Consider the following 12,561-nt stretch of genomic DNA (forward strand, 5'->3'; position numbering starts at 1 on the left):
GAGTCAAAGGCTGCCACATCACATCTCCTTTAAGTCTCCCTAAGTACGACCCCAGAAGTATTGACAAAATAGTGCTATTCCTGAAGATTTCAGGAGGACATAAATGAAGAGATTAAACTGCAAGGTACCAAAACTTCCATCTTTGCTAAAGACCCTCATCCAGGCTGGGCACGGTGACTCACGCCTGTAATCCCAGCGCTTTGGGAGGCCAAGGCGGGCGGATCACCTGAGGTCGGGAGTTCAAGACCAGCCTGACCAACATGGAGAAACCCCATCTCTATGAAAAATACACAATTAGCCGGGCGTGGTGGCACATGCCTGTAATCCCAGCTACTAGGGAGGCTGAGGAAGGAGAATCGCTTGAACCTGGGAGGCGTAGGTTGCAGTGAGCTGAGATCGTGCCATTGCACTCCAGCCTGGGCAACAAGAGTAAAACTCCATCTCAAAAACAAACAAAAAGCCCTTATCCAATGGTCATGCCACTCTATCTGGCCATGTAATTTCTCCTCCTGGCTTTCTGTAGCAACAGCCTTCTGAGGAACCTCACTCTGCCTTTCAAAACCCCTTCAACTTGTACCCTTCATCAGCAAAGTACTTAGCTCAACATGTATGCGTCTGGGGGAACTCATCCACATGCTATTTAAGGATATTTCCAGCAACATCATCTTCACTACCCCAGGATGGCATTTTAGAGTGGATTACGTGCCTGCCGGATGTGTTGTAGTTGAACGAGTTAGAGAAAATGCCACACTTTGAGACGAATTAAGAGTCTGTTCATTTAGCCGGTGGCTAAGAAATGGCTAACATTTAAAGTTCTCTCGGCCTCGAAGAAGGGGCTAGATTTTCTTTTATACTTTGGTTTAGAAAGGGGAGGGGGATTTTTTACAAAAGTAGGAATTTTACAGAAGTAGACAAAAAAGTTAAAAGGATAAATTGTTACAGGAAAGTAAACAGTTCTAGGTCTAGGGGCTTTTAGACTATTATGAGGTGACAGATGCGGGGCTTTGGGCGTTATCAATTGGACGAATTCCTGGGAACTGCGGATATTGCTCGCCACAGTATCTTATCAGTTAATTGCATTCTTGGATGTGCTGGGAGTCAGCTTGCACAAGTTAAGTCCTTGAGGAAGGGGCTGCCAGTGAAAGAGCCAAGATGGAGTCTGTCTGGCTCTCTTAGCTAAGGGAGAGTCAGTTCAGGTTGAAACAAGGCTAGGTGATTAAAAGAAAGGGAGAGTCTAAGAACAGGGTTAGTAAAAACAAGGTTGGGCATTACATTCCTCACTTGTGTTTTTGGGGAGTCAAATCGTTGATTCTTCAGTTATAACAAGGGGGTTATATTGAGTCTTAAGATACATAAGTTTGACAGAAGCTATGCGTTGTTTTACAAAATTAAGAAACTAATTTAATATACAAGGTCCAAAAATTAGACTTAATACTAGGATGGGGAGGGGGTCTGGCTAACTTAGTAATTAGAATAGTTAGCTCTGGGTTCTAGTTGAACATGCTTTGATACTAGCGGATGTTATTTTCTTGTTCTTGTTGGCGCTTATCTAGATTTTCTTGCACTTTCTGGAGTGTATCTTTTATGACTAAGAATGGTGGAGGAACAGTTAAATCAACTTTGTCAGGGTGTTTCTGGAACATAGGGTTACTTAGATCAGTTAAAGGCCTGATTGACTTGGGTGGGCTTTATGAGACTATGGTTTTTTTGGATGGTGAACATAGACTTAACATTAAATCCTGGGATGTAAAATCTTAATCTTCATGACATGCCATGATACTATTGAGTTGAGTTAAGGTCATGGACAGTTACAGTAAGAGGATTACAATTTTTTCTAGTACATAATTTAGGATGAGAAGCAGGACTTATGGAAAGAGTTGAAGATCTGGTTGATCTTTTAGAGTAGGTGGCTAAAGTTACACATGTCTAATCAGGACAGGAAAACTGATAAGTATCTTGACAGCTAGCATCAGGGTGATTTCTAGGACAGAGGTAAAAGTCAATATTTTGGAGTCTTTTTTCTGCACTTTTGGAGCTTCTACACTTAGTTTGGCTCTTGGAGTGTCTGAATCTTGCTGAAAGGTCGACCCTTGCTGCTCCTGGGACTGGCAGATTGTGTTGCTTTTCATGGGTATGGGCTGGCTTTGGGAAAAGTACAAATAAGTCAACTGCAAAGGAGACTTCCTTGGAGGTACTGGCCTTCTAAGTGGTGTTTGCAAATACAAGTCCTGTTGTGAAAGAGGTGAGGAGAAAGGAGTAGGAAGGCACAGAGGACGTAAAGGGCAAAAACAAATAAGTGAGGCAGATAAAAAGAATGAATCTAATGGGTTCACCTGACTTAGGTGCAGTTTTAAGGGGCCTAACTTAGGCCTGGGGACTTATGTTTTTAGTTGGGCTCTGTTGGCCTTTTTGATGCGGGAGTGATGAATGTAAGCAGGAATGCCGTCTACTTTCAGAGCCATTGGCGTTGTGAGGATGACGGTGTGAGGTCTTTTCTAAGCAGGAGTGAGTCTTTCTTTCTGGAAATTTTTAACAAACACTAGGTCTCATGGCTGGAACGAATGGCTGGACTTTGGTCAGGAATTGGATTGGGATGGGCTCCTGGAACAAGTGGCAGGATAATATCTTGTACCTGTTGGAGAGACTATAGGTACTGTAATAAATTATTTTGTGATATTTCTGCTAATTTGGCATCTCTTAGCTTAGGCAAGATAGGGGGTTCCTTCTTATACATGATTTCAAAAGGTGAGAAACTAGCCTGGTAAGGGGTGCACCTTACTTTAAGTAGGGCTAAAGGAAGGAGACTTACTTAATTTACACTTTTTTTTAAGATTAATTTTGTAAGAGTGTTTTTTAGGGTGTGGTTCTTGCGTTCTACTTGCCTGGAACTCTGGGGTTGATAGGCACAATGGAGCTTCTGTTGAATGTTTAAGGCCTTACTGACTGACTGAGCTATAGGCGAGGTGAAGGTTGGTCTATTATCAGACTTTATGGCAGCAGGCAGCCTATATTGAGGGATGATTTCATTGAGTAAAAATTTAACTACTGTGTTGGTGGTTTCGTTTTCGGTAGCAAATGCCTTAGTCTATCTGGAGAAGGTGTCTACCAGTACTAGAAGGTATTTGTACTTAGCCTGGTGTGGTTTGACTTCTCTAAAGTCAATTTCTTACTTTTTTCTTGGTGAGTTTTTTCAGAGACAGTGGCCTGGGCTGGGTTTAGGACTTTGTTTGGCATTTACTTGGGCGCAGGTTGTGCACTGGAGAGCTGCTTAATCTGTTAGGCTTTGAAGATGGGGGATCTTAAAATGGCTCTGGAGGAGCTAAGGTAGATTTGCTCTTCTTAAATGGGTGGTAGACTGTAGGTAACTGATTAAAGTTTCTTTAAGAGTTCAGGGTATGAAGATTCTAAAGTCTGGAAGAATCTACTAACTTTCCTGATTTTTATTGGCTCTGAGATCCGAAGCCAGTTTTTTTTGTTGTTGTTGTTGTTGAGTATACGGGATTGTCAGGCAGATCTGGCTGTGGAAAGGAGACTGTGGGCAGCAAGTTTAGAGGCGTGACTGAAAGTCGCGCTGAGACCTGAGCTGCTGAATCACGTTTCTGGTTACTATGGGCAACGGGTGTGTTTTCTTTTTGATGTCCTTTGCAGTGGATCACAGCTACCTGCTGAGGTGAGTAGCCTGCTTTCCTGGTAGATGGCTTTACGTACATACACAGTAGCAAAGGCGTACTTGCTGTCAGTGTAAATGTTAATACGTTTATTCTTACTTTATCAGAGAGCCTGAGTGAGGGCTATCAATTCAGCCTTTTGGGCTGAGGTGTTCGCTGGTAAAGCTTGAGCTTACAACACATGTGTCTCCGTGGTAACAGCTGCACTGACTTTTCATACTTCCTGCTTGAGGAAGCTGCTACTGTCTCTGAACACGGCGGTACCTGCCTTTTCTAGGGGCACACCTTGAAGATCACATCGGCCAGTTTCGATAGTTTCTAACAGTTCTTGACAGTCATGAGCAGGAATAGTGGAGTCTGAGTCAGGAAGTACTGTAGCTGGATTTAAACACTTTGTGGGAGAGAAAGTCAAACGAGGCTGATCTAACAGTAAACTTCGATACTGCAAGATGCGAGCATTTGACATCTATTTGCCAGAAGCACTTCGTAGTAAGGTCTTTATGGCGTGAGGAGCTGTAAGGGTTAAATTTTGGCTTAGAGTTAATTTATCGTCTTCTTGGGCCAGGCTTGCTGTAGCCGCTACGGCTCGCAGACAACTTGGCCATCTAGAGGCCACAGGATCTAGCCTCTTAGACAAATAGGCCACTGGGCGTCTTTAGGGTCTTAGAGTCTGAGTAAACACGTTTTTAGCAACTCCTTGGCTTTTATGGAGATATTAGGGAGGGCTAAAGCAGGGGCTTCAGTTAATGCTAAATTAACGGGCTATTTCATTCTGTACTTCTTGGATAGCTGCCACTAAGATTTTTGTTTGTCTTTTGAATGCTTTATCAGCGGCCTTTTCAGCTGCCAGTGTAGCTTGTTTTTGTTTTTTAAACTTTTGATTGTCAAAAACTTCTTGGGCTATTTCTAAAAGCTGACTGATATTTATTCTAGCAAATCTTTTTAGTTTTTGGAGTTTCTTTTTAATATCTGGGGCTGCCAGAGCCACAAATGCTAAATGAAGAGCACGGCTATTTTCGGGAGCTGCCGGGTCAAAAGGGATGTAAATCCAATAAGCCTCCTGGAGGCGCTCTAAAAACGTTCTTGGTGACTTATCGGGCCTTTGGACAACTTCGCTTGTCTTAGACAAGTTTATGGGTTTCTGAGCGGCTCTTTTAATACTTGCGAGGAGATACCGGTGAAAATCACCTAAAGCTCCCTTTCTACTTGAGGAATTTGGGTGCTGGTTAGGCCGGGTAGAGGGAAAGACCTCCTCAAGGGGGTCTCTAGCTTCTTCTTCCGGTCCGTTGGCTGATGTGAGGAAGTACTTTTTGGCTTCTTTTTGGATACGTTCTTTCTTTTCAGAGGTGAAAAGGGTTAAAAGGAGCTGTCGGCAATCATCTTAGGTGGGCGGGTGAGTCTGGAGTACAGACTCTGTCAGAGAGGTCAAAGCCTGGGGCTTTTCAGAGAAGGGAGGATTATGGGTTTTCGAATTACATAAGTCAGAAGTAGAAAAAGGGACATAAACTAAGAAGGGTGCTGAGCGCTCATCACCTGGAGGGACTTGTGCCTCTCTCAGTGGTAGGAGAGGGGCTACTTCTTCCTGCCACGGTCATGATTGAGAGGCAATGGGTGGCGAGCCTACAGGGGACGTCGTCGAGCAGACATGGGATAACTTTAAGGGAGAAGGTTGGTAGTAAGGCGGTGGGACTGGGTGAGGGAGACTCCCCTCTTCTTCAGAGGGAGGCAGTACAGGGGGAGCTGAACCGGCTGAGGGTCGAGGCGAAAACGTGGTCTGGCTTAGGAGGACCTTGGAGGTAGAATTATGAATGGCGCATGAACGGAGCCATGGAGAGTGGATCCTGACTAAACTTAGCTCTTGATCAATGTAGGGAAACTGATCAGGGTGGCTAGGAGTTTCAGTAACAACCTGCCACACAGCTTGAACAATTGTGAGGTTCAATGACCCTTCAGGGGGCCACTTGACTTTAAACTTTGGCCATTTTATTTTGCAGAGTGTCTAGAGCTTGCCTTTTTTAAGGCGGACTTTATAATCTGAGAAACTGAGAGGAAAATTCTGCAGCATACATTGGAGAGGGCTTTAACTTTACAAGGCTGGGAGGAAGTGTTTCTTTTTTTTTTTTTTGAAGGCAATTTAATAAGATTTGAGCATAGATATTAAACTTAGCATGGACAGAGAAACTTATTTCTTGGGGGACTGGAGTAGTGAAAGAACAGAATCAATATGACTAGAAAGAGCAGAAAAACTTACAACAGCTAATACTACTTGCTACATTGCTGTAGCTTTAAGACTGAGGGAGGAGGACTAGAGCCAGCCTGAGATCTTCTGGGTCAGTTTGATCTAGGCGTTCTTCTTCTTCTTCTAGATCTGCACTTTAAATACTTTTGGTGTCTTTATAACTTAAACGCAAATAGCTTAAACTTAGCTTTTTCTCTTAAGGGTTTAAGGAGTGAGAGCAGAGCCAAGTCCTGGAGACGGTAAACTTGCTGTGGCACCGGAAAACGAGATGTGCGGGATACGGGGCAGGGACAAGGTGGAAAAGGACTACTCGGATCATTTTTAAGATGGAAGAGTAGCCACAGAGGAACAGAGTAAGAATCTCAATGAAGTAAAGCAGTACGGGCGTACATTTCTTTACACAGTGCTCTATTTCAGGGCACAGGAAAAGTTACAGAATGACAAGAGAGGTGAGCAAGGAAATCTGCAGGGTGGCTGTTTTGAACTCATTACTGGTTTAGTTTAGAGGACGTCTAATCACTTGGACGTGGAGTATGATGATCTAAATACTTAACAACTTTCTTGGTGCTAGAAATCTTAATCAGGCGAATATTTTTCACACTTGTTCTTGTAACAACACTTGACTTGCTTCTGGCAGAAAAGACAGGACTGTGGTGGCCAGCCTAAAAGATTGATGAGAAATTTAACCTCCTGTGACAAAAAATCAGCACTAAGGACTTTGAAGAAGTTTTTACTTAGAGGTCTTGGGCAATACCAACGTCTTGACATGCAAAACTTTGACAACTACTAACAAGACAATAGACGCTGAACAGAACAATCAATATAAAACAAACAGTTGACTTTAGGGCATGTAAACAGTTATGACAGTTTTTCCTTTTTTTTTTTTTTTTTTAGACAGACAAGGGGAGGGTTTCCTGTGATGGGATCAGTCAGATGCCTGCCTGGCCACTCCCCTTGAGGGGACTTGGGCTCCTCTTAGCATTGGCAGGCCGGTATAAACTTCCGGCTCAGATCAAGGTACGCCTGATGCTGCCTTAAGCCTTATGAGGTCGCCACGGAACCGCAGGTGAGGGCCCACTTGAACTCCGTAGCTTTCGCCGTGGAGCTACAAACTGGAGGACAAGCGCAAACCCTTGTCCTCCCTCATTCATTCATTATTCACACAGAGTATATAACAGTTTTTTTTTTTTCTTTCTTGGAGATTCTTCAAGAAACTTGAACAAGAGAAAGATGAGAGATACAAAAAGAGAGAGAGAGAGTGACCGGTCTGCCAGAAACCAGGACTCAGTCCTCCAGCATCCTGGGATGTGGACTGAGTCAAGGGAGGGCCCCTGTCAGGGCCACTTCCCTCCTAGAAAGAGACACAGAGGAGCCTAACAGAAAACCAGGGCTCTACCTTCTAGCGTCCTAGAGAAACAGGCAGAGTCAAAAGAGGGACACCCTCATCAGGGCCGCTTCCCTCTTACTAGAACTGAAGTCAAATCTGACCTACCTGACCTCAGGGTCAGAAGTCGAGGACTCAGAGGTGGAATTTTTATGGGCACCCACAAGGTAGTCGATCCGCTCTCCTCTGGAAGACGGTCACCTTTCGAGGACCTGAAAATTTTTTTGTAGGTGGCACCCCGCAACAAGCCGGCCGTCCTTCCGGGGGAGCCCGGAGCGAGCCCGGTTCTCGCCTCGTGGCGTTTCTCGCTGGGGCCTCCAAATGTTGTACTTGAATGAGTTAGAGAAAATGCCACACTTTCACATGAATTAAGAGTCTGCTTATTTAGCTGGAGGTCAAGAAATGGCTAACTCTTAAAGTTCTCTTGGCCCTGAAGAAGGGGCTAGATTTTCTTTTATACTTCAGTTTAGAAAGGGGAAATGGGTCTAGTTAAAAGAATTTTACAGAAGTAAAGTAGGCAAAAAAGTTAAAAGGATAAATTGTTACAGGAAAGTAAACAGTTCTAGGTCTAAGGGCTTTAAGACTATTACAAAGTGATAGACATGGGGCTTTAGGCATTATCAATCGGACAAATTCCTGGGAACTGCGGATATTGCTTGCCCCACAGTATCTTATCAGTTAATTGCATTCTTAGATCTGCTAAGAGTCAGCTTACACAAGTTAAGTCCTTGAGGAAGGGGCTGCCAGTGAAAAAGCCAAGATAAAAGCTGTCCCCAGTGTTAGAGGTGGGGCCTGGTGGGAAGAGATTGGATCATGGGGGTGGATTTCTCATGAATGATTTAGTGTCATCCTTTTGGTCCTGTCCTTGCAATAGTGAGTGAGTTCCGGCAAGATCGGGTTGTTTACGAGTGTGTAGCACCTCCCTCCTTACTCTCTTGCTCCCGCTTCACCTTCTGCCATCATTGTAAGTTTCCTGAGGCCTCCACAGAAGCTCAGCAGATGTCAGTGTCATGCTCCCTGTATAGCCTACAAAACTGTGAGCCAATTAAACCTCTTTTCTTTATATATTACCCAGCCTCAGGTATTTCTTTATAGCATGAGAGAACAGCCAAATCCAGCAGCCATAGACAATATGCAGCAAATGTGCATGGCTGTGTTTCAGTAAAACTTTATTGACAAACACATGTGCAAGCAGGTCAGATTTGGCCCATGGGCCATAGTGTCCCAACCTCTGCTCTGGAATATTCTCTTCAGCCTGGACGGACATCTCTAGGTTGTTGTTGTTTTTTTTGTTTGTTTGTTTTGAGACAAAGTCTCACTGTTGCCCAGGCTGGAGTGCAGTGGTGCAATCTTTGCTCACCGCAACCTCTGCCTCCTGGGTTCAAGCAATTCTACTGCCTCAGCCTCCCAAGTAGCTGGGATTAGAGGCACCTGCCACCACACCTGGCTAATTCTTGTATTTTTTAATAGAAATAGGGTTTCACCATGTTGGCCAGGCTGGTCTCAAACTCCTGACATCAGGTGATCCACCCACCTCAGCCTCCCAAAATGCTGGGATTACAGGTGCCCACCACCACACCTGGCTAATTTTTGTATTTTTAGTAGAGATGTGATTTCACTCTGTTGTCCAGGCTGGTCTCGAACTCCTGATATCAAGTGATCCAGCTGCCTCAGCCTCCCAAAGTGCTGGGATTACACGTGTGAGCCACTGCAGCTGCCCTCTAGATTTTTTTTTTTTTTTGACCATTGCTTATTTGGTTTGACTTTCATTTTCTTCCCCATTGTGGTAGTCATTTTCTGAATGCCTGTTAGTTTGTCCATCTCTCTCCTCTGTAGTCCCTAGAGTCAGATGAACTCCTCTGCAGGTGCAATGGTGTAACACTCTCTAGTGCTGAATTTTGAGCAGGAGAAAGAGAGCAAGAGTGACCAGTACCTTTGGAAACTCTGCCCTCCTGAGAATTTGGTGTCTTCTCTGCAAATGTTGCAAACCTGTTAACCCACAGGCTGGAGAGAGAGACAAGCCAGAATCATGATCTGTTGAGCTTCAGTTTAATATTTGATGCACAGAGATCACTGAGTTTTTTTATAAGAATTAGAGGGGGAAGAAATGGCCACAGAGAGCAATTTCTATCTCCAGGTGAGGATTCAGGAGATAATTCTGCGAACAGAACTTCCTGAGAACTGAGATGGGGGAAATCGCTGGTATTAGAAGAGTGAAAAGTTCAGTAATTAAGGCTACGACTGTGCTCTTAGAGGCAAAAGAAGAAAATGAGACTGCCAGGCATGAATAATGAGAAATCTTTGATGGAATTAGCCATGCAGAACAGATACTAAATGCATCCTCATTCTTCTCATAGTCAAAAGTTTTTGCTTAAGCTGGATAGGAAAAAGAGCATCCCATTTCACTAAGTATAAAAGAGGGGATTTTAGAGAAGGTCTCAGAAGAAAGAGATGTGGGGGTTTGGTGAAACTCACCAGAGGCTGGACCCTCTCCAGCATAACACAGGGATTGGGAGGAGCGGGGCGGCATTAGGCCAGGTGCATAGCCCAGTGCTGCTATCTCTGGACTTTCTGCTCTCTCTGGACTTGTTTACTAGCTGAGCTTATCCATTTACATAATTTTCAGTGCCATTTCTCAGCTGATGAGTCCTGAACTTTTGTCCTGAGGCTAGAATTCTCCTTGAAACAGCAGTCTTAAACACTCAACTTCTTTCTTGTTTTTTCCACTTGTCAACTCATGAACACCTCAACCTTGTTACATCCAAAGCCAAACTCATGGCTTGGTGTGGTAGGTGATGGCTGTAATCCCAGTGCTATGGGAGGCTGAGGTGGGAGGATTACTTGAGGCCAGGAGTTTGAAGCCAGCCTGGAAAACACAGTGAGACTCCCTATCTACAAAAAAAAAAAAAAAAACAACAAAAACAAAAAGCTAGGCATGGTGATGTGCATCTGTAGGATCTGTAGTCCTGCTACATGGCAGGCTGAGGCAGGAGGATCAATTGAGCCCAGGAGTTTGAGGCTGCAAAGAGCTATGATGGCACCAATGCACTCCAGCCTGGGTGACACAGCCAGAGACCCTGTCTTAAAAAAAACCCAAAGCCAAACTCTCTTTTTCCTCCTCCTTCTCCATGGGCTCTGTCCATGCCATCTCTCTTCTGTAAATGGCACCACCCCCTGCTGAGCTGCTCAAGGTGGTCATAACTCATGTGTTGTGCTAACTCTGCTTTTGCCCTCTTCTCCAGTCAGCAAGTCCTGTGATTCTAAACTTTATCCAACTTGTCCACTCTCTCTAGCTTCACTGTCATTATCTTTGCCTAGGACACCAGTATCTCAGCTGGGCTACAGCAGCAGCCTCCTAACTGGTCTTAACTGGTACTCTGCACCTGCTCTCCATGCTCAGCAATCCATTTCCTACCTGGCAGCTTCAGTGATCTTAAGGTGTCCATTGAGTCTCATCCCTGCCTTTCCTGCCCATGGTACATAGAATAAAATCGAGACCCCGAGTCTTCTGCCTGTTCCTGCCACCTCTCCAGCCCTCTCCTATCTCCTGCCCTTGGCCTACTCTATTTCAGCCACTATGGCCTCCTTTTGTTTTCTTGGACTTTCAAACCTTTTTCCACAACAGGGCCTTTGCACTTGCTGCTTCAGCCTGGAATGATTTTCCTCTGCACCTCCCCAGATTAGACCATCCTTTAGGTCTCAGCTAAAATGGTGCTTCCACAGACAGCTCTTTCCTGACCCCTTTATAAAGTGGACTTCCCTGCTCTTCTCCACCTTAACCTCTTATTGTTTCTTGTTGTGGGAAGTCAGGGACCCCAAATGGAGAGGGACTGGCTGGAGCCATGGCAGAGGAACATAAATGGTGAAGATTTCATGGACATTTATCAGTTCCCAAATAATACTTTTATAATTTCTTATGCCTGTCTTTAGTCTCTTAATTCTGTTATATTCATAAGCTAAGGATGTACATCACCGCAGGACCACTGTGATAATTGTGTTAACTGTACAAATTGATTGTAAAACATGTGTGTTTCAACAATATGAAATCAGTGCACCTTGAAAAAGAAGAGAACAGCAATTTTTAGGGAACAAAGGAAGACAACCATAAGGTCTGACTGCCTGCAGGGTTGGGCAAAAAGAGCCATATGTTTCTTCTTGCAGAGAGTCTATAAACGGATATGCAGGTAGGAGAGATATCACTAAATTCTTTTCCTAGCAAGGAATATTAATAGTAATACCCTGGGAAAGGAATGAATTCCTGGGGGAAGGTCTATAAATGGCTGCTCTGGGAATGTCTGTCTTATGCGGTTAAGATAAGGACTGAGATACACCCTGGTCTCCTGCAGTACCCAAAGGCTTACTAGGGTGGAGAAAAACTCCGCCCTGATATATCTGTGGTCAGACTGGTTCTCTGCTCTTGAACCCTGTTTTCTGTTGTTTAAGATGTTTATCAAGACAATACATGCGTGAATGAACATAGACCCTTATCAGTGGTTCTGCTTTTGTCCTTTGCTTTGTGATCTTTGCTGGACACTTCTCAGTAGTTCTGCTTTTGCCCTTTGTCCTGTTCCCTCAGAAGCACGTGATCTTTGTTAGACCCTTAGTAGTAGTTCTGCTTTGTACCATTTGAAGCATGTGACCTTTGTACCTATTCCCCATTCTTACACCCCCTCCCCTTTTGAAGCCCTTAATAAAAACTTGCTCATCTGAGACTCAGGGGGCATCATGGTCCTACTGATGTGTAATGTCACCCCCAGCAGCCCAGCTGTAAAATTCCTTTCTTTGTAGTGTCTCTCTTTATTTCTCAGCTGCCTGACACTTATAGAAAATAGAAAGAACCTACATTGAAATATTGGGGGCAGGTTCCACCTATACTTCTTTCATGGATTTACTTATTTTTTGTTTGTCCCCCTGTGTATCCTAGAAACTCCTGGAGGGCAGAGGCATGCCTGCCATCTTCATCATTGCATTACCACCACCCAACACTATTGGGGGACCTGCCCCGATAATCATGTAGGTTCTTTTCTACTTTCCTAAGCGTCAACTGGCTTGAGAAATAAAAGGACAGAGTACAAAAGAGAGAAATTTTAAAGCTGGGCGTCCGGGGGAGACATCACACATTGGTAGGATCCGTGATGCCCCACAAGCCACAAAAACCAGCAAGTTTTTATTAGGGAGTTTCAAAAGGGGAGGCAGTATACGAATAGGTGTGGGTGACAGACATCAAGTACTTAACAGGATAATAGAATATCACAAGGCAAGTGGAGACA

The 12,561-nt window shown here is 44.3% G+C and overlaps 1 long non-coding RNA gene across 4 annotated transcripts in view, besides 1 other annotated feature; it reads left to right on the plus strand.

The window, feature by feature from the left end:
* The first annotated feature begins 2,598 nt into the window (after positions 1 to 2,598).
* LOC105375138 (uncharacterized) overlaps positions 2,599 to 12,561 on the plus strand; it is a 121,035-nt gene continuing 111,072 nt past the window's right edge. For all 4 annotated transcript variants that reach the window (XR_927009.3, XR_001745076.2, XR_001745075.2 and 1 more), the window contains exon 1: positions 2,599 to 2,650. This is a non-coding gene — a long non-coding RNA (uncharacterized LOC105375138). The remainder of the gene's footprint in view (positions 2,651 to 12,561) is intronic.
* Positions 3,645 to 3,831: a silencer, noted in NCBI's record as "fragment chr7:7030918-7031104 (GRCh37/hg19 assembly coordinates)". NCBI's record gives its function as "represses an EF-1alpha promoter that drives an FKBP-Casp9 reporter gene in an ReSE screen in K562 erythroleukemia cells {active_cell/tissue: K562}" and the evidence as "EXISTENCE:reporter gene assay evidence [ECO:0000049][PMID:32094911]".

The sequence above is a fragment of the Homo sapiens genome, chromosome 7, assembly GCF_000001405.40.
Source record: "Homo sapiens chromosome 7, GRCh38.p14 Primary Assembly".
Lineage (NCBI taxonomy): Eukaryota > Metazoa > Chordata > Mammalia > Primates > Hominidae > Homo > Homo sapiens.